General features: G+C 41.3%; 1 protein-coding gene and 1 long non-coding RNA gene across 20 annotated transcripts in view, besides 1 other annotated feature; one reads left to right on the forward strand and one right to left on the reverse strand.

Moving 5' to 3' along the window:
- The window catches only part of ARMC2 (armadillo repeat containing 2), a 204619-nt gene that overhangs the window by 59628 nt on the left and 125324 nt on the right, over positions 1-19667 (forward strand). For 17 of the 19 annotated variants that reach the window (XR_007059340.1, XR_007059341.1, XM_047419396.1 and 14 more), the window contains 2 exons: positions 2850-2952; positions 4286-4509. Coding sequence is in view for 15 of the 19 variants with exons in the window: in XM_047419396.1 (XP_047275352.1) it covers positions 2850-2952; positions 4286-4509 (327 nt within the window). In the remaining 4 variants the exon portion in view is untranslated. Of the gene's footprint in view, positions 1-2849; positions 2953-4285; positions 4510-9066; positions 9168-12159; positions 16018-19667 lie in introns of those variants that run through there. The other 2 variants (XR_942601.3, XR_942600.1) reach the window with 2 other exon arrangements.
- Positions 91-16054, reverse strand: ARMC2-AS1 (ARMC2 antisense RNA 1). The gene is made up of 3 exons (NR_104137.1): positions 16012-16054; positions 14926-14995; positions 91-694 (listed from the first exon to the last, which is right to left on the reverse strand). It is a non-coding gene; the product is annotated as an ARMC2 antisense RNA 1 (long non-coding RNA).
- Positions 12486-13396: an enhancer, noted in NCBI's record as "OCT4-NANOG hESC enhancer chr6:109241738-109242648 (GRCh37/hg19 assembly coordinates)". NCBI's record gives its function as "activates a minimal SCP1, AML or CMV promoter by ChIP-STARR-seq in naive and primed H9 embryonic stem cells {active_cell/tissue: H9 hESC(naive and primed)}" and the evidence as "EXISTENCE:reporter gene assay evidence [ECO:0000049][PMID:30033119]".

The raw sequence follows: 19667 nt of genomic DNA on the forward strand, positions 1-19667 counted from the left end.
AAGCTTCCACAACAGTGTTTCCCAGACTTCACTGTGCACATGCATCCCCTGGGGATCTTGTAAAATGCAGATTCTGAGTCGGTAGTGCTGGGGGGGGCCTGAGATTCTGCATTCCTAATACATGCCCAGGTGATGCTGAGATGGTTCTGTGACCTATCTGAGGCACGCACTCCTCAAGTGCAAAGTGTGAACGACAACACCAAATTTCCAGAATAACTTTTGTAAGTGGCCTAGTGCAGGAGGGTATGCAGAAGCTGCCCCACAGGCAGTGCTCCCCTCCCCAGGCCCCTCCAGCTGGGGGCTGACCATGGCCGTTTTGGTGTCTTCTGCAGTGAGCAGCATAGCGCCTGGTACACATCAGGTGCCCAGTAAATACTTGTGGATCAAGCACAGAACAAATACTTAACAAATATGCCTGACAGATTCTATTATTTTTTTAAAGTAACTGAAAACTCATTAATAAAATGTGGGAGGCTGAGGTGGGAGGATTGTTTGAGCCTGCTAGTTCAAGACCAGCCTGGGCAACATCTCTACAAAATGTTGAAAAAATTAGCCAGGCATGGTGGCACATGCCTATAGTCCCAGCTGCTCTGGCGGCTGAGGCAAGAGAGTTGATTGAGCCCACGAGGTCAAGGCTGCAGTGAGCTGTAATGGCGGCATCACTGCACTCCAGCCTGGGTGAAAGAGCAAGACCCTGTCTCTGAAAAAAAAGAAAAGAGAGAGAGAGAGAAATGTCGTAGCCGGGCATGGTGGCTCACACCTGTAGTCCTAGCACTTTGGGAGGCCAAGGTGGGTGGATCACTTGAGGTCAGGAGTTCGAGACCAGCCTGGCCAACATGGTGAAACCCTGTCTCTACTAAAAATGCAAAAATTAGCCAGTCATGGTGGCATGTGCCTGTAATCCCAGCTACTTGGGAGTCTGGGGCAGGAGAATCACTTGAGCCCAGGAAGCAGAGATTGCAATGAGCCTAGATCATGCCCTTGCACTCTAAGCTGGGGAAGAAGAGTGAAACTCCATCTCAAAAAATAAATTAATTAAATAACTTTAAAGATAGTTTTTAATAATAAACTAATCACCTATATGCCATCCTTTTCAAACAGAAATAATTTTTTGTTCAGATGACCTTATTCCTACAAATACATTTTTACACCTTTGTAATGAGGGCACATATTATTTCCATCTAACAGTAGGTTACAAATGTTTCCCTTTTTAGACATAATGTTCACAGTTATGCTTTTTTGTGACTGCTTAATATGATAGTATTGATGTCCCACAATTTAATAAACTATTCCCTAATATTAGATACTTAGGATGTTTTTTATTTTTCTTTTTTACTACTTTAGATAAATACACAGCTAACTTAGACCATTTGATTCCGTCAGTAATCCTATACTTTGCTTTTTAAAAAAAAAAACACTATATTTCCTTATCACCCCATGTTTAATTTACTTAGATATTTTTGTATGATTTAGAAGAGAATTTTCTTTTCTTTTTTTATTTTTTGACACGGGGTCTCACTCTGTCACCCAAGCTGGAGTGCAGTGGCGCGATCTCGGCTCACTGCAACCTCCGCCTCCCGGGTTCAAGTGATTCTCCTACCTCAGCCTCCTGAGTAGCTGGGATTACAGGCGCGTGCCACCACACCCAGCTAATTTTTGTATTTTTAGTAGAGATGGGGTTTCACCACGTTGGTCAGGCTGGTCTCGAACTCCTGACCTCATGATCCACCAGCCTCAGCCTCCCAAAGTGCTGGGATTATAGACGTGGGCTACTGCGCCCAGCCTAGAAGGTAATTTTCAACTTTAGATGTTACTTGTGATTATCTCAAAGCATTCCAGAAATAGACCTTAAAAAGAAATATATGTATATTATCAAATTAAGCAGTATTACTTTTAAATTTTCTTTTATACAAATGATAAAAAAGACCAAAACTTTCCCCCTTTCTTTTCTTTCCTTCATCTCTACTATGTGTTCTTTTCTAAATTAATGTGAAATTTTGGTATTCATCTTCCTCTACTTTTGTGTTTTAATGCAATTACTCTAATCAAATTTATTAACAGTGTACTGCACCCCTTTCTTCCTCATATACTCCTTTAAAAGTAACTAATAATCGCATATATAAATATGAGACTTGGCTGGGCGTGGTGGCTCACACTTGTAATCTCAACACTGGGAGGCTGAGGTGGGAGGATTGTTTGAGCCTGCTAGTTCGAGACCAGCCTGGGCAACATCTCTACAAAAAAAATGTTGAAAAAATTAGCCAGGCACAGTGGCACAAGCCTATAGTCCCAGCTGCTCTGGCGGCTGAGGCAAGAGAGTTGATTGAGCGCACGTGGTCAAGGCTGCAGTGAGCTGTGATGGCAGCATCACTGCACTCCAGCCTGGGCGAAAGAGCAAGACCCTGTCTCTGTAAAAAAGAAAAGAGAGAGAGAGACTTTATGAAGTAAGAAATATGGAGAACAGATTGGAGGTTCCTCAAAAAACTAAAAAGAGAGCTACCATATGATCTGGCAACCCCACTGCCAGGTATATACTCAGAAGAAAGGAAATCAGTGTATCGAAGATATATCTGCACTCCTATGTTTATTCCACAGTATTCACAATCGCTAAGATCTGTCATTAAAATGTTTATTCTAAAGATAATTTATATTGTGTTTACTCTAATTGAGTTAATTAGATACCACAATTGGCAAATATGTGGTCTAAATTTTTCAAAGTTGATTTCTTTAGAACTTTTTCATGTTTAAAAATACTGTTGCTGTACTTTAAAAATAGATGTGGTTTATTTTTTTTAATACAGCATGTCTTTATTTCCTTCTGCAATAGAGATGTGTTTCTTTCTCTGCAGCTTAAAGTGAGTAGAAAGAATCTTCTTAATGTCTGCAAACTTATATTTAAAATTAGCAGGAATGAGAAGAATGATTCTTTGATTCAAAATGACAGCATTCTGGGTGAGTGTCATTCAGTGCTACTATTGAGCAAATGCTGTACTTGAGTAAAAATTAGAAGTCTGGAGAGAAAATATATAATCAATGATAGCAAGAATATTTTGTTTTCTAGAAACATGCAGAAGTTATGTGATGCTCATTTTTACTTCATCCTTCTCTGTTTTCCACATTCAGTTGAATGCATCCTGTGGTAGTTTGCTCTTTTCCTTCAACACCTGTAGTAACATTATGTGACTTTACAAAGTGTTCCCCATTTAAGAATTCATTTCCTGGACTTGGATTTAATATATAGAAAAATGCATTTAATAGTATTTGACATAGTTGAAAATTTTAGTCTTTTAATATACTAGGGATGACTAAAAGTTGAAAGACATCTATAACTGTTATAGAAACCTGACATCAACATGTTTCAAATTTGTAGGTAAGGAAGTTTTATTATACCTTATCTAGCTAATGCCTAATTTTTGTTGTACTTCTAAGTAATTAAGATATCTAGTTACCTAAATGGAAATCTTTTTATTAATTAATATTGCTGATACAAGAAAAGAAAATACAAAGTATTTTCCATGCAGCAACATGGAAAATACATTGAGTTCTCTTTTTGCAACATAGGATAAATTATCTTTTCATCTTTCTTTGCCCCTGGCAGATAGGGACAAAACCAGTACTGAAAGAAATGTCTAATGTTGAATCAACTAATTAAGAATTGTCGACTGAAAACAAATTATGTCAAATTATTACATTGACTTTAATATAATTAAATGTGAGATATGCATTATTAACGTTATTGGATTTGCCTGGATTACTCGTAAAACCAAGTAGTGGTATGTTATTTGAATAAATGTTCTTAAGTTGTCTTGGGAAAAGGATAGGCGTTATATTCAAGTTATCTTTCTAGGGTGATTGAGATTTTTTTTTAAGCCCCTTCATGGATTTCCCACTAAGAATACAGTTACAAATATATTCTTAAAGGCTTGTTGAAGTTTAACTCTTAGATGTGTTAAATTATTAGTATTCTATGACTCAAAATTTTTGTAACAAAAAATAAAGGTCAATAAATAATTAGTAAGAGGCAAGGAATGACATTAATTAAAAGAATACTTTCTCATTTATTTATTAACAATCCCATCCTTCTGCTGAAATTACTATTACAGAGACTTATCTTAGCTAAAAGTAAGCTTTTCTCTTATACTATATAACTCTTAACAAGCACTTGAATGTAGATTTTGATAAATATATTTTACGAAGTGTATTTTATGTTCACACACAAGTGCTTTAATATATTTCTCTCCAGCTGTTATACTCAGACATTTATAATAATTAATCTTTTTGACAGAATCATTATTGGAGGTACTAAGAAGTGAAGACCTGCAAACTAACATGGAAGCTTTTTTATACTGTATGGGGTCTATAAAGTTCATTTCTGGAAATCTGGGATTTCTTAATGAAATGATCAGCAAAGGTGCTGTGGAAATACTGATAAATTTGATAAAACAAATAAATGAGAACATCAAGAAATGTGGTACATTTTTGCCTAATTCGGGCCACTTGCTAGTCCAGGTAAGTATTTTACTTGAAAACGTTAGATGTGTAAAATTAGTTTTCACATTGCCTAATGCCAGTTTTAAAAGAATGGCATGCAAGAGGCCCCTACAGCCAGGTGTGGGTGCCTGGCCTCCAAGGGCAGCAGCCATAGCCCACCTCCACCCCATGAGGGCCTGGTGCCTGTTGTCCTGGACAGGCTATTCCATGGCTATTACAAGAGCAGCTCTCCACACAGCATGCGCTTTCACTGCCCTGCAGAGAAAGCAGGCCTGGAAGAAGGAAAAAGTTGTACCTCTCTGCAAAACAATTGCATGTTAGAGTCAAAATTTTAACAAGCTGCTTAGAGTGTTGAAGATGGGCCTGGCCTGGAGATGATTTATGATGATTGGTAGCTAATGTCATTACTCTTGTAAGAAACAGAAGGTAACGGGATTGAGTGGACAGTCACTGAGGTGGGTATGTAGATATCAGGCAGCCCCGAGACTGTAGGAATGCAGGGAACAAAACTGGACGCATGGAATATAAACAGAGCAGGTAGACCAATTTTGTTATATGTTAGGGTTTTATTACTTCTGTTGTAGCAGATTAAATTTCATAGTTAAATTATTTTCACTGGAGCTGCTCTGGCTTGGATACTCTTTTAGATGAGATTTTACTTTTTAATAGCATTCATATATCAAATAATAGCATCTTTGATGTAATAATTCATAGGATTCGAAATGTGTTTGTCAATTAATGAGGATTGATTGAGCACTCAGAGCACACTAAGCCATTGGGAAACTGTGTTAAAAATTAGATTTAGGCCCTGCCTTCAAGATGCTTAAAATATTTAGGATGATTATTAATTTTGGACTTTGTGGTCTGTCTCCATTTTGAAGAAGATTGTGAAAACCTCTTTTAGTCATCAATGATGCACAGTTTTTCTGTATGCCCTGTTTTGGCTAGGAAGACTTCAGAAACATTTTCCATGCTCCCAGTGTTATCGAATCATTTAATTTTTTCCCTCAATGAAAATAGTAATTTCTAATTATAGAATAATTATATTTCCTGTTAAAATGCTGAAAAGTATAAGGAAGAATATAAAAATCACCTGCAATTTTTTCACCCTGAGATAACACCTCCAGCATTTTGGTGGTCATTTATATACATATACATAATTTAATAGAATTCTCACTTTTTAAATAACCCGTTACTTTTAATAGTCACTTTTGTTTGTTTGCTATCATTCTCTTCCCTCCCTGTTTCTCCTTCTGGTTTATCCATTTAGCTAACATTGTTCACACTGATGTGTTCAGCACCTTTTAGTACACACACAGGATTCAACAAATGGAATATTCTATGCCCTTCTCTCTCCTCATTTAACAATATGTAGTAAAAATCCCTTGAGTTAACCCTAAAGACTTATTTAATTCTTCTTAATGACTGCATAATATTCTGTGATTAGGATATATCTCAAATTCTCAGCCATTCCCATATTGAGATATTCACTCTGTTTTAAATTTTTATGTAACAGCTTATGGGATTCTTGTCTAGTTAATCTCTTTCCAACCCCATCTTATACATATATAAATGTGGTTTGCTGTTTGCATCAACTATATCACTGTGTGTGTATGTCTGTGTGTGTGTATGTGTGTGTATGTGTGTGCACCCACACACATATGATCAGTGGGTATGAAGGGAAGTTGAGTGTTACTGTGACCAAAAATATATCAAATCAAGAAAGGGGACCTCTGGTGTGCACATATAGTATATTACTCCCTGTGTTACTCTTTTATGTCCCTTTCCCCTGGATTCAGCATCCTTAGGTGCAAACTGATTCACCAGGTCGGATCCCCCCTCCTTTCCTGACATTTGTGTCCCCCCACCTCTAGGGGGCGCTGTAGAAGTTCCTCCTCACTGCCCACCACCACCTGCCACCACCTGATGGCAGTGGGCTCTGTCATTGTCTCCAAAGCCTTTCTTGGAACCAGCCTAAGGCCTGGCATGGGTGACCCACACCCCTGTCTAGCAGGAGAAAATGGAGCCCATGATGGCATCCACCCGAACTTACTCCAGCTGTGGTCACCAAATGCCATTTGTATCAACTGTATCACTGTTTGTGTGTTTACAGATTTGGGAAGGAAGGAGACATTGTTTTAGTCTTTGTCATTTGCAGAATCCCCTGAATGGGACATTTCCTCATATTTAATGAAAACAAAAGCTGTTTTGTATCATACAAATGATAAAATGTAAGCAACAAGACTTCACTCCAAGAGCAGATGAAAGCCTCTGCTTTTGTGAATGTGTAACACTGACTGACTTTTCACCAGCCGGTTCATGTGCAAATTCAGCCAGACAGATCTGGCCACAAGCAGAAGTGTCTGTTTACACCAGCTTTGAGAACCTGGTAACTCCAGCTCAGCAGGCATTTTTTTTTTTTTCTTTTTGAGACAGAGTTTTGCTTTTGTCACCCAGGTTGGAGTGCAATGGTGTGACCTTGGCTCACTGCAACCTCCACCTCCCAGGTTCAAGCGATTCTCCTGCCTCAGCCTCCTGAGTAGCTGGGATTACAGGCACCCGCCACCACGCCTGGCTAATTTTTTTTGTATTTTTAGTAGAGACAGGGTTTCACCATGTTGGCCATGCTAGTCTCAAACTCATGACCTCAGGTGATCTGCCCACCTCGGCCTCCCAAAGTGCTGGGATTATAGGTGTGAGTTACTGTGCCTGGCCAGGAGGCATTTTTAAAAGCAGCTTTTTTCAATTGAAAAAATAAATAAATTACTTGTGGCTGTAGTAAGAATAAAATAATGTCTGCCAGCCAGAGAGAACATGACGAGGGCCAAAAAGATACAAGCAGGCAACATCTAGTGGCGTGACTGCTTTTCTTCTATGACTTTCAACCCCAAGAACCTCAGGAGCTTTGGCCCACTTTCTGGGGACCTCATATTACAGAACTTCGCTTGCTTTAACATCTGGCACAGCGTTAGAGTCATCTTGTTTTCCAAAAGCAGCTCCGTTGGGCTCATTGAAAGAGTGGAAAACATCTTCCAAAGCTGGACCCTGAAGATTGTGCAGGATTTGGGAAACTAGAACAAAGGGAAAAGGATGTTGAACACTCAAGTGGGAAATAAATAAGGTGTGTTTGGGAGGTGCTGAAGAGGTAGGGCTGTCTAGAGTAGAGATTCTGTGTGGGAATCTTGGAAGGTGAGATTCACAAGGTACAGCCACGAGTCTTGAATACCAGCTGCCAAGAGTGGACTTGGGGCAACAAGGAGCAGTTGGAGGTGAGTGCATGGGGGGACGAGATGAGATCAGAGCGGCAGAAAGATGAATGTGCACAAAATGTTAAACTGATAAAGACCAAATAGCTGAAAAGTGATGGGAGGAGAACGTATCCGTGATACATGACAGATTGGAGGGCTAAGATCTCAAACACAGCAGCCCCAGTTAAGAGGCATTGCTGCAGTTAGATTTTAGACTGATTAGAATGGAGACAAAGGAATGGGTATGAAGGAAAAGCTCCTTCAAAGCAGACGGACTAATGTTGCTTAGAGGAAAAAAAAACACAGTGTTGAACTTTGGAAGGTCTTCTTTGTGTTGTTTCTTACATATATGTATACGTATGGCTGTATGTATTGATATATGTTTATCACCTGGTGGCTGAAATCAAGAGACACTCATTTCACAAGTTTTGTGGCGTGGCTGCTCTGTGTCAAACATGTTCTGGGTGATGAGTAAGACAGGAGAGCTGTCAGTAGGCACCTACTTTTTGGTGATCCCTGTATCCAGATAATAGTATTCCAATGCTTATTCTTCTGCAAAATTATGGTACTTCCACATGGCCAACATTGCATTCAGTTCTGCATGTCAGAAATGTAATAGCATTTTGAGAAGGACAAGATGCTCAGAGAAACTGGGTGCTGCCACCTGTGCATCAAGTCAAAGCGTGAATAGCCCCAGGCTGGCAAAACTGGAGATGCGAGTTTGTCTGTAAAGTCGTAAGAGTAAAGCAGGTTAAACTGTGCATGTTCACTGAACTCCAGAACACTAGAATTTAGGGTGAGCTCCCTGGAACTTGGAAAAACAGAAATATAGGCCAACTAACAGGCAAGGCCCCTAAATGCCAGTAGTAAATTGCACCACCAAGGAGGTGGCACAGATGGAAAGAGGGACTTGTCAGTGTTGCTCTAGAATGGATTATCATGAGGTGTTAGGGTTCGTCTGTGACCTTTAAAGAGCTACAGTCGGGCAGGCATGACACAGGAGCTGAAGGAAACTCCTGGGGTCACCTCCATCTGAAAGTCTGTTTTGGTCTCTGTTGTGCCCTTTCCTGGAGAACAGAAGAGTCTTCTGTCTATGTCACAATCACAACTAAGCCCAAATTCTCCCGGTGTCTCCTTTGTCCTCTGTGTCTTGAGAACATCATGTACAAAGCTGCTTTGCTGTGATTGAAGGAAATCTCAATGTACTTACATTAACAGCTAGGTAATTTATAGGTGTACAATGTAACTATTAAAGCTCAGATTGACTTGAACTTGCATGCCTATTTTTTGGATTCACTTGTACTTCCAATCTGTTTTTTCTTTACAGCCTGACCCAGTTGATTTTGAATTCAATCCTTAGAGAAATGTATTATTTGCCTTCTTTAGATATACTGTTTTTGAAGTTAGAACTGTTCTGCAGCACCCCAGGTAACATGGTTTTCTTTTCCTCTCCACAGCCCCCTACCCCCGCTTCTCTGGCCCCTAAGCCTGCAGACACCTCCCTAGCAGCTCCCGCAAATCCAGATCCTCTCCCCCTTGCTCAGTACCATACCACTGTCATGTTCTTCCTTTTTCTAAATGGAAGTCTCTCGGGAAGGTCGGTCCTCCCACCTCATCAGTCCTTTCCTTCCTTCACTCGGTTCCTTCCTTTTGTTTTTAGGGTTTAGGGAATAGGAAAGTGTATGGAACAAAGAGAGCTGACTCAGACAATTTGAGCCTGGATAGTTCAGAAAATAATAAATGATGGTATCATGAATAGAAATTAGAGAGTTACAGAAAGGAACTGGATTTGGTGAGAGGAGGAAAGAAAATTGTGGGAAGAAAATTATGTTAATTAGCTTTATTTTTATTTTTTAAATTTTAATATATATTTTTTTGAGATAGAGTCTCACTCTGTCGCCCAGGCTGGAATGCAGTGGCGCAATCTCGGCCCACTGCAACCTCTGCCTCCTGGGTTCAAGTGATTCTCCTGTCTCTGCCTCCAGAGTAGCTGGGATTACAGGTGTGTGCCACCATACCCAGCTACATTTTGTATTTTTAGTACAAAACTAAAATTGTTTTAGTAGGTCTCTAGTAGAGATGGGTTTTCACCATGTTGGCCAGGCTGGTCTCGAACTCCTGACCTCAAGTGATCCACCCACCTCAGCCTCCCAAAGTGCTGGGTTTACAGGCATGAGCTACTGCTCCCGGCCGAAATTAGCTTGAATATAAAACTTTCAGATGCCAGCAGGCCTCTCAAGTAGGAAGTAGGAGATATGAGCTGAGGCTTGGAAGAGCAGGTAAGATCAAAAATACAGATTTAGGGTCATCTACATGGATTTGATGGTTGAAGGCAGAAAGACAATGAAATTACCCAAGGAGAGAGTAGAGAAAGAGCAGAGGGACTGATGACAGATTCTGTGAAAATGGCCTCATTTGTGGAATGGGAAGAGAAAAGGAAGTGACTAGGAAATGAAGGGCAATGTACAAGAGTGAGATTTTCTCAGCAAGGATGGGTCAGCTTTGGCAAATGCTACAGAGAGCGTGTAGGAGAAGAGGGATCCCACCACTTTGTTTGGAGCCGTGCGAATAGGCGAGCGAGGGGTGTGAGGGGGCCATCTCCTAGGGCAACAGTGTGCTCTCTTGCTCTCTTTCAATCTTACATAGTTCTTTAGCTCTGTATTTTTAAATTAAAAGATGTTTTGATATACTTGATTTTTTTTTTTTTTAAATTTCTGAGCCCTAGAGTGAGCTCCCCACTTTGGCAGAGCTGGGCTCAATCCTGTATTCATTGTTTGCCGTTGGGAACCCTGATGGTTCATTCAACCCTGGACAATGCTGGGGCAGGCCCAGTGCCGCCACCCTGCATGGTCCAGTGAGGATAGCACCGCACTGGAGCCCCCAGCATAAGCTGGCCTCTCAGCTGGGACACTGAGCCCACTTTACCCTCTGAGCCTCAGTTTCCTGTCTCTAAAGTGCTGACTATGCCTGCCTTAAAGGGCAGCTAGGAAATGAAATGAGATCGTCTAGTAAAGCGCCCATAACAGGGCAAGGCACATAGTAGGCACTCACCAGAAAGCCATTCAATAAAATAAGATCAGAATTACCCAAACCTGAAGCTTCAAAGAGCAATTATTTCTGATGGGATAAAAATGTAATCACAAGAAATTAAGAAGACAGAGTCCAAGATGACTTTCAAATATTTAATCTTTTTGTTCGGGCTTTGATAAGCAATGTAGAGAAGAGCACCAAAGAGAAACTAAAATTGGAGGAGGGTGTTAGGGTAATGTATGGGATTCTGGGTACATGATGGACCCCAATTCTCAGAGCCAGCTATTCTTTGCTTCAAGATTTGGGGAATTTAAGAGAGGCCTTCAACTGAAGTCTGGGGATTTGATCAAGCAGTGACTTAAGTTATTATTAGTAATGAAGGTTGTACCAGGCTGGCCGGGGTCTTTTAACTCTTGCTTTAGTTATGTTTCATAGTTTTTAAATGTAGAGATTAATGCATTTGTATTTAGGTGTTTAGATAATTATAAGTATGTGTACTTATGCTGGAAATTATGTTAATTCTTTATCTTGCGCGACCCCACCTATTGGAAGCCTAACTCTTCAGACTGTGCAATCAGAACCAAGGTAGCAGTGTCTACCAGTAGAACTTTGCTCTGATTATTGGAGGAAGTAAACTGCATACCTATAAAATGGGAGCAAATAGCCCCATGATTGTATTTCCTAAGTTCTTACAGATAATTTTTTTTTGGAGATTTGATAATTTAAACCAAATTTAAAGCATTTATTTTGAAGGTTTTGCTTGAATAGCAAGCAGTAGATGAGGTTTTTAATTTTCTTTTTGTTTTAATTAAGGTATAATCTACATCCAATAAAATGCTTAGATCTTATACGTTTGATGAGTTTGACAAAAGTAGAAAGCCACGTAGCCCCTACCCTTATCAAGATACAGAAGGTTTCTGTCACCTCAGAAATTTCCTCCCACCTCTTCTCATTAATCCTCATTCTTCTACCCTCCTCCCAGAGGGAACCATTTTTCTGATCTCTTTCACCATAGATAAGCTCTGCCTGTTCTAAAACTTTATATAAACGGAATATACAGCATGTACCCTTTTGTGTCTGGCACCTTTTTAAACTTTTATTCTGAACTAAGTATAAATTCACAAGATGTTGCAAAAATAGTACCGAGATGTCCTGTGTACCCATCATCCAGCTCCTCCCAGTGGTGATATCTTACATAACTATTGTACATTATCAATAGGAATTGATATGGATATGCCATAGTTACCTAGAGTACTATATCTGGTTTATTTTGCTTAGCATATTGTTTTTGAGATTAGATGAAGCTATTTTAGGGGTTAGTCTTTGGTATTGATCACTACACTGGCTAATTTTTTATTTTGTTTTGTTTTGTTTTTGTTTTTGTTTTTAGAGATGGAGTCTTGCTCTGTCGCCCAGGCCAGAGTGCAGTGGCATGATCTCAGCTCACTGCAACCTCCACCTCCCGGGTTCAAGCAGTTCTCCTGCCTCAGCCTCCCAAGTAGATGGGATTACAGGCACGTGCCGCCACTTTTTTAATGATGTATTTGTTAATGGGAAGGAGACAGCTATTTTCTACTTATGGGGCTTCCTTCCTATAAAAGAATTGCCAGCAGCATAACTAACCACTCACGTGCCCAGTTGCCACGAGAGAGTAGGCATTTGGGGCCCAGGTTCTTCCTCTTCCCTTCTCTTCCCTTTCCTAGGAAGGAGCTGTCTATAGGCAACTCATGTTCTCCTCCAATTTTCCAGGGACAGCAGATCTGAAGATCTGAGAAGACTCAGAAACCTAAATATGTAATGCCTTGGGTTTTTTACTTGGAAATAAGAGGCTAAGGAGGCTGGGGATGGGGATAAAGTTATCACCGTGGTTGGAGGATGTGGCTGATAGCTGAGGCAGGCATGCTTTCTAATCCTGAGTCCTAGAATTAGATTTACCCACCCAGTCACAGACCATGTCTGTCCCTGGAGGAGCAGAACACCTTTGTTCTGATGGCAGCTCACTTCTAAAAGAGGAAGGGAAGAGAGGGACCAGGTAGGGGCTGGACTGGGAGGGTCTGATTCCTGTCCCAAGCTCACCAATCAGGAAGTGAGGGCGGTGGATGGCCAGGAGTGTTATGCTAAAAGACAGATCAAGGGTGGAAATGAGGCTCCTACTGTGTCTGAGGAGAGCCATTTGCTCTCAATTAGTGCTCTGTCTGCTCAGCCTCCTCTCTTCACTGTAGATCTATTAGTTGTGGCAGTAAGGAAATGTCACTAGCTTTAGCATATAATTGTGAATAGTGGTTTCATTGCTTGGTAGTTCTTAATGCACTATCTTTTTCAGACTCCTTTTTCTTGTTTTGCTGCATTGCCATTCTAGATTGTTTGTATGATATTCAAAATTTCTCCTGTATTGAATACATACATAGCCACAACTAGAAGAATCAGCTACCTACTCATTTTAGTGAAGTAACTGGCATAGAGGCAGTAAATGGAGAAACAACAATAAACAGAGCCAAATGTTAAATAGAGTCTCAAAGTAGGACATTGGAGGTTTAAGGAGGACAGAAGCATTTCCTGCTAAGTCGGACACCCATGGTAGGGATGTGCCAAGTAGGCCTGTGTAGCCAGGCACCGAGTGTTATCAAGGATTATTAATTAATATTACCTTCATATGCATATATCTTAATAAATTCCAAGAAAAGCTTAGACATGCATGTTACCAGTGATTTCACATGTCTAGCAGCATCTTGTCATTGGTTTCTTTTGTCTCAGCCAGAACTGTACAAATCATATATGAGACAATATGAAACTTCTTGGGTTACCACACAGGCTCTGGTTTTGGCATATATGTGGCCTCAATTGGGCACAAGTTCAAAGAAATGAATCTGCCTTTATTAATAGAGGGAGATGGCTTAGCTGAGGTTGGAAAATAGTGGCTTTAGTCATAAATCATTTCACACTGTTTGTGGTCTCTGGCGGCTGCGTTTATTCTTTTACATCATCAGTGGGAAGTCAACAATTTTGCAGTTGGCAGTTAAGTTGAGACAAAGCTCGAGGGATTTCAGTTGTGGATATTCCAGATGATTGCAAAATGCTTTTAGAGACCAGTGCCAAATAGAGTAGGGAGGCAATAGACCAAGAAACTGAGGCCAGGGCACTAGCCTACCTGGGAGCTGATAGACTTCTGAGCTTCAATGAGTCACAAGCTCCTCTGATCTGGGGCAGCTCTGATGGCAGGTTGCCTTCTAGAGCAGAATCTGGTGAGTTCCTTGAGGACAGAGTACTCTGATGGAGGAAGGGCACAGAGGGAAAAGAGAGGGCCGTCCACTCTGGACATGATCAGTGTGTGTGGAGGTTGCCCCACCTCGCACCCACCCACTGCAGTAGAGAACGCAGGAATGAGACCACAGCTGCTGGGCCTGTGTTGTGTCCTCAAGTCCAGTGATCCAAGTCCGGAGGGCCCCCCCACCCTTTTTTTTTTCTTGAGACAGAGTCTCACTGTGTCACTCAGGTTGGAGTGCGGTGGTGCGATCAAAGGCATGGCTCACTGCAGCCTCAGCCTCTGGGGTTCAGGCGATTCTCCTGCCTCAGCCATGAGAGTCGCTGGGATTACAGACCTGAGCCACTGGGCCCAGCCCCATATTTTAAGACAAATATTTCCTGTGTTTGCTAAGGTTTCTCAATTAATTAATAGTTGAAAACACAATTTGAAATTGATAATTAAGTACCTATAGTCAACTTGAAAAAAACAGAAGCTAAAGCTTTTGAGTTCTCATTTTACTGTATTAAAATGTAGTTGTGCATTTATAAATGATCTAATTTCTTCTTAGTACATTTTTTCCCTTTAAAATGGGTCTCCCAATACTGACTACACAATGAAAACTTTGAGGCTTACATAATTCAATGTGAGCTGGGTAGCTTTGCCAAGTCTCCAGGTGTTTTCCCTGACTGAGGGTGGTACCTGTTATGATCAAATAATTTGGGGAACATGGAAAGAAGCTTTCTCAGAAAAGTGAGCACCAGAAAGTTGTCAAGTGTAGCTCAGTCATTTTTCAGTAGTAGATTGGTAACCAGAAGCAAAATGGAATGTTTCTTCCTGGGTATTTACCAAAACCTTAGGTCCCCTTTTGTCCTAAACATCACCTAACAATTGCTAATAAGCAAGGAAACTTACATTTGTATTAGTCCTCTTTGTGGATTATCAGTGTCATTTTCTTCTCTTTTTTCTTCTTCCTATGGGCTGCCTTCAGGATTGCAAGTCCCACAGGATTGCAAGTTAAGAGATGGGGGAAAAGATAGGAATTAAAACTTGTGTTTTTCAGTGTGCTATTTCTTGGTGAAATGCTACTTAAGAGGTTGAGAATTTCTCTACTAAGTCCTTTAGAGACTAAACAAGACTTTTTTTAAGTAAGGGATTTGAGGTGGTTTGAAAGATTATATACAATAAAAAAGAAAAATGTGTGTTTAAGTTTGTGCATTTATAGATAATATAAATTAGAATAGAAAGTTAAGAAAGAAATGGATGCACACCTCCAAGCATGAAGCTTGGGCTTTGGTTAACTCCTGCTTTGGGGGAGGGCCCAGTGGGTGGGCTTTTCTTGAGGGTGGGAAATAAAGACCCTGCTGTAGAGCACAGAACTCATTGATAATTTTCACAGATTTATCTCTGTTCAACTGAGAGTTCTTGTTTTCTTTTTTTTAATTTTCACTTGTATATAATGAATTCAAAAGTAGGAGCAAAATTCAGTTAAATGGGTTGACTTGGAACTTGCCTTTACTGTGACCACATGATTTAGCTAGACTCTCCTCCCCACACCCTTTTTTTTTTTTTTTTCCTGCATTTTTTCCAGAAAAGGCCACTGGTCTGAGCATTCAGGGCCCCACCATCATCCCACAGTGAGATTGGTGGCTCTCAGAGGTTGGTGACAAGTCTCTCAAGATACAGGGCCTTCAGAGCTGCATCTGCGTGGTGGCCTTTTCCTGATCCTTCTCCCTCAGGGTTTTAGGCCCTGGTTCACCCAGGCCTCTGCTAAGCTCCCGCACTTTCTTGCCAGAGGTGTCTTAAAGGGAAAAACCTCTCTTTTGTCGCTCCTGTCCCTTCTTTCTTTCTTCCCCCTCCTCATTCCCCTCCTCCTTCCCCTTCTCATTCACTCTTCCAGCCCTCCAGTAGCTGAACATTTAAGAGCTTTTTATGAGCACATTTGTTGTCCTCTGAATAGAAAGAGGAATAAGAAGTGGTTTGTACCCTAGAGGAGCTCACCATGGGAGAGAAGATGCCTGAAGACAAGTGACAATGCTTCTGTGATGGGGGTTGTAGAGGCAGGAACAGGATGCTTTGGTAACACGGAAGAGGAAGGAGAGGAAGTGACTGATCAGCCTCGGAAAGGACTTCACAGAGAAGTTATCTTGAGCTGGGTTTTGAAAAATGAGCAGGAGGCCGGGCGCGGTGGATCATGTCTGTGATCCCAGCACTTTGGGAGGCCGAGGCGGGCGGATCACTTGAGGTCAGGAGTTCAAGACCAGCCTGGCCAACATGGCAAAACCCTGTCTCTACTAAAAATACAAAAATTAGCAGGGTGTGGTGGTGCTTGCCTGTAATCCCAGCTACTCGGGAGGCTGAGGCAGGAGAATCGCTTGAACCCAGGAGGCGGAGGTTGCAGTGAGCCGAGATCGAGACTCTGTCTCGAAAAAGAAAAAAGAAAAAAATGAGCAGGAGATGGCCCGGGGGAGAAGGGGTGGCAAAGTGTAATCGAGGGCACTCTGGGCGGAGGAAGCCGCCTATTCAAAGGCATGGCGTCATGAAGGGTTGAGGACCTCATGTGGTGCAGAGTCTGAAAGATGGCCAGGGTGGTGCCGAGGCAAAGGAGATGAGTTTGGAGGGATAAACCACACTTCAGAGACTGAGGAACCTTTAGGCTATGGGTGCTACTGGCTGGGCCGGAAGTCGCAGGAGGCCTTTGAGCAGGGAAGGCGGAGCTTTGAGATGCCCCCTCTGGCAGCAGTGAGCAGCTATGGGGGCAAACTGTGGAAGGAGCCCATCCAGGGGGCTGTAGAGTTTGGGTAAGAGATGAAGTGAGCTTAAACTGAACCAGTGACGCTGGTGATGGAGAGAAGGGGTGAACGTGTGACCAGTCAGGTGGGGAAAGGGGTGGGGCCCGGGAGTTTAGGAGCTTGGGAAGGAGCTGCTGTCAGAAATGAGATAGGCTAGAGAACAAATACACAGAGGCTGGTCCCCTTCCAGAGAGTTCATTTTTCTTTCATCCGTTATTTTTTATTCTGTGATGGATGGGGGTTATAGAGGCAGGAACAGGATGCTTTGTTAACACGGAAGAGGAAGCGACTGATCGGCCTCTGAAAGGTCTTAAACATAGACAAGTTAGCCTGAGCTGGGTAACTACAGAGTCCATTTTTCTTTCATCCATTATTTTTTACTCCTCTGCTTTCAAAAAAAATCTTAAAATCTGTCTACCTCAGAGATATTGTCTGCTTAGCCCATGGTGTTCTGATATCCCAGTCTTTCCTTTGTAGATGTCCACCCCTTCATTCATTCCATTAATAAATGCCTATTGAGCGCCCACCATGTACCAGGCACTGGACTTGGAGCTGGATGTACAATGGTGAAAAGGATGAACAAGGTTTATGCCTTCACTGAAGCGTCTAGTCTGGAGGAGTAGACAGATAGTAAACCATAATATTAAATAACCTAGCATTAAGTAGAGTTTATGGGGGCATATATGGTATGAGATGAAGCTTGACGGGTTGAGAAGGAACAGATCTGTTGAGCCTTGTAGACCATGGTCAGGGAACTGAATATTATCCTGGGAGCTATGGACAAAAAGCCAATATGGCTTGGAGTAACAGAAAGCAGAAAGGCAGGATTCTGGGATATCTCTGCTTGAGCAACTAGGTTGATGGTGTCATCTATTGAGCTATTGCTGTGTATTTTTCAAATGTATGGTATATGTTTCATGCATGTTATTTCTACCAGCACCACAAATGACAAATTTGGAAATACGTGAGGTATTGTATATTACTCAACTGTGTGTATCACGTGCAGTAAATGGGTAGGAATTTCAATCAAATGACATGTCACATATAAATGTGGGCTTTCTCTCCTGACTTGGGTTATTTATGAAAGTTATGTATGTGGGGCAGAAGAAACTTGAGCTGTCTAAACTTTTGCTAATGAGGTGAGAATAAGGCCTGAGAAGGAGAAAAAATTGAGATTGAAACAAGAAAATAAAAGCTCCTAAGGAAACTATGGTCCTTTCTGCTGGCAATGTCCCTTGCCAGAGCTTAGATGTGGGGAGCGTGAAGATGACTATGGATTGGGATGTCCCATCTTTGATGCCTTGGGGACCAGGGAAAAGGAACTGTTGGTGTGCAGTGACTGGAATGGGTATTTCATGGTTTCCCATGATGTCTGTCTGCATGGGAGTTACACAGGCATCTGTACTCTTCCGTCTCCATGGAAGAGAGTTTTGAGGCATCCTCTGAATTAATGTAAACCAGTAGTGCTCCGGTGCCTGGGCTGTCTCAGGAGAACAGGTGGAAACGGGGTCAGATGATGAGAATTTTCCATTTTATGACAGCAATGGAATTCCTAGAATGGTTCATTAGTCTTCACAAAAGATCTATTCCTGGCTGGGCGCAGTGGCTCACCCCTGTAATCCCAGCGCTTTGGGAGGCTGAGGTGCTTGGATCACTTGAGGCCAGGAGTTTGAGACCAGCCTGGCCAACATGGCGAAACCTTGTCTTTACTAAAAATACAAAAATTAGCCAGACATGGTGGCACGCACCTGTAATTCCAGCTACTTGGGAGGCTGAGGCACGACAATTGCTTGAATGGGGGAGGCAGAGGTTGCAGTGAGCTGAGATCCTGTCACTGAACTCCAGCCTGGATGACAAAGAGAGACTCTGTCTCCAAAAAAAAAAAGTCCATTCCTTAGCTTAGAAGAAGACTACATTGTGACATTGTTTAGATCTATGGAGTTAAGTGGAATACTCAAGTAGTTTGTTTCACTTCCAATGTTTGGGATACTGAAACTTTCAGGGAAGAATTTACAGAATCATTGTATAATTGAATTGATTACAAAAGACATGTACACATTTATTTGAAGCTTTTTTTTTTTTTTTTACATTTTCTGTGTTTTCAGGGTAGTCAGTTATATTTTAATGTATCTTTTTGTTGCTGTTGTTATAAGGAAAAACTAATCATGTCATCTTAAAAATTGTTTTTAAAAGTTTATATACTATGGCTGTAAGGATGCTTTATGTTTACATGATGCTTTACAGTATTAGATAAGTAATAAAAACAGTGCTACATGTTTCCATTTGCTACACACAACCCCCCGAGAGGTGAGCAGTGCTTGTCATCTGCTTTTCACAGATGAGGAAATGGGGAAGTGGAGGAAGGAGTGGCTGCCCCTGGGCACTTCACTAGGAAGAGATGATGGCAGCGATGCCATTCACACATCTTATCTCATAGAATCCTCACAACTGCTAGGGAAGTATCATCACCTCTACTTTATTGAATGAGAAAAATGAGCTCTGGGAGGTTAAATAACTAACCCAGGCTGATGGGTGGTGAGGCTGAACTGGCTCTTAACCAGTAGCTTTCCTGTAGTGTCCCACAAGGAAGGAGCACACTGCATATTAAAATTATTAGATAACAACATTAGTTTTATGATTTACTAAACTCTTCTCTTCTTGACTCTTTGACGAAGGTAAAGTAGATAGCTTTCCTGAATTTTTTTTTTAATAAAATAAGACAAATTTGTGAGATCTTAATACTTGTCTCTTGGGAGAGAATGAGACTAAAGATCTTAAATATTCCTTGGCCACATCATTCATTATCTGATGCTATTTATAAAAGCATAGAACAATCAGACAAGAATACCTATAAAATTAAAAAAA

This window comes from Homo sapiens, chromosome 6 (genome assembly GCF_000001405.40).
Source record: "Homo sapiens chromosome 6, GRCh38.p14 Primary Assembly".
In the NCBI taxonomy this organism is placed as follows: domain Eukaryota; kingdom Metazoa; phylum Chordata; class Mammalia; order Primates; family Hominidae; genus Homo; species Homo sapiens.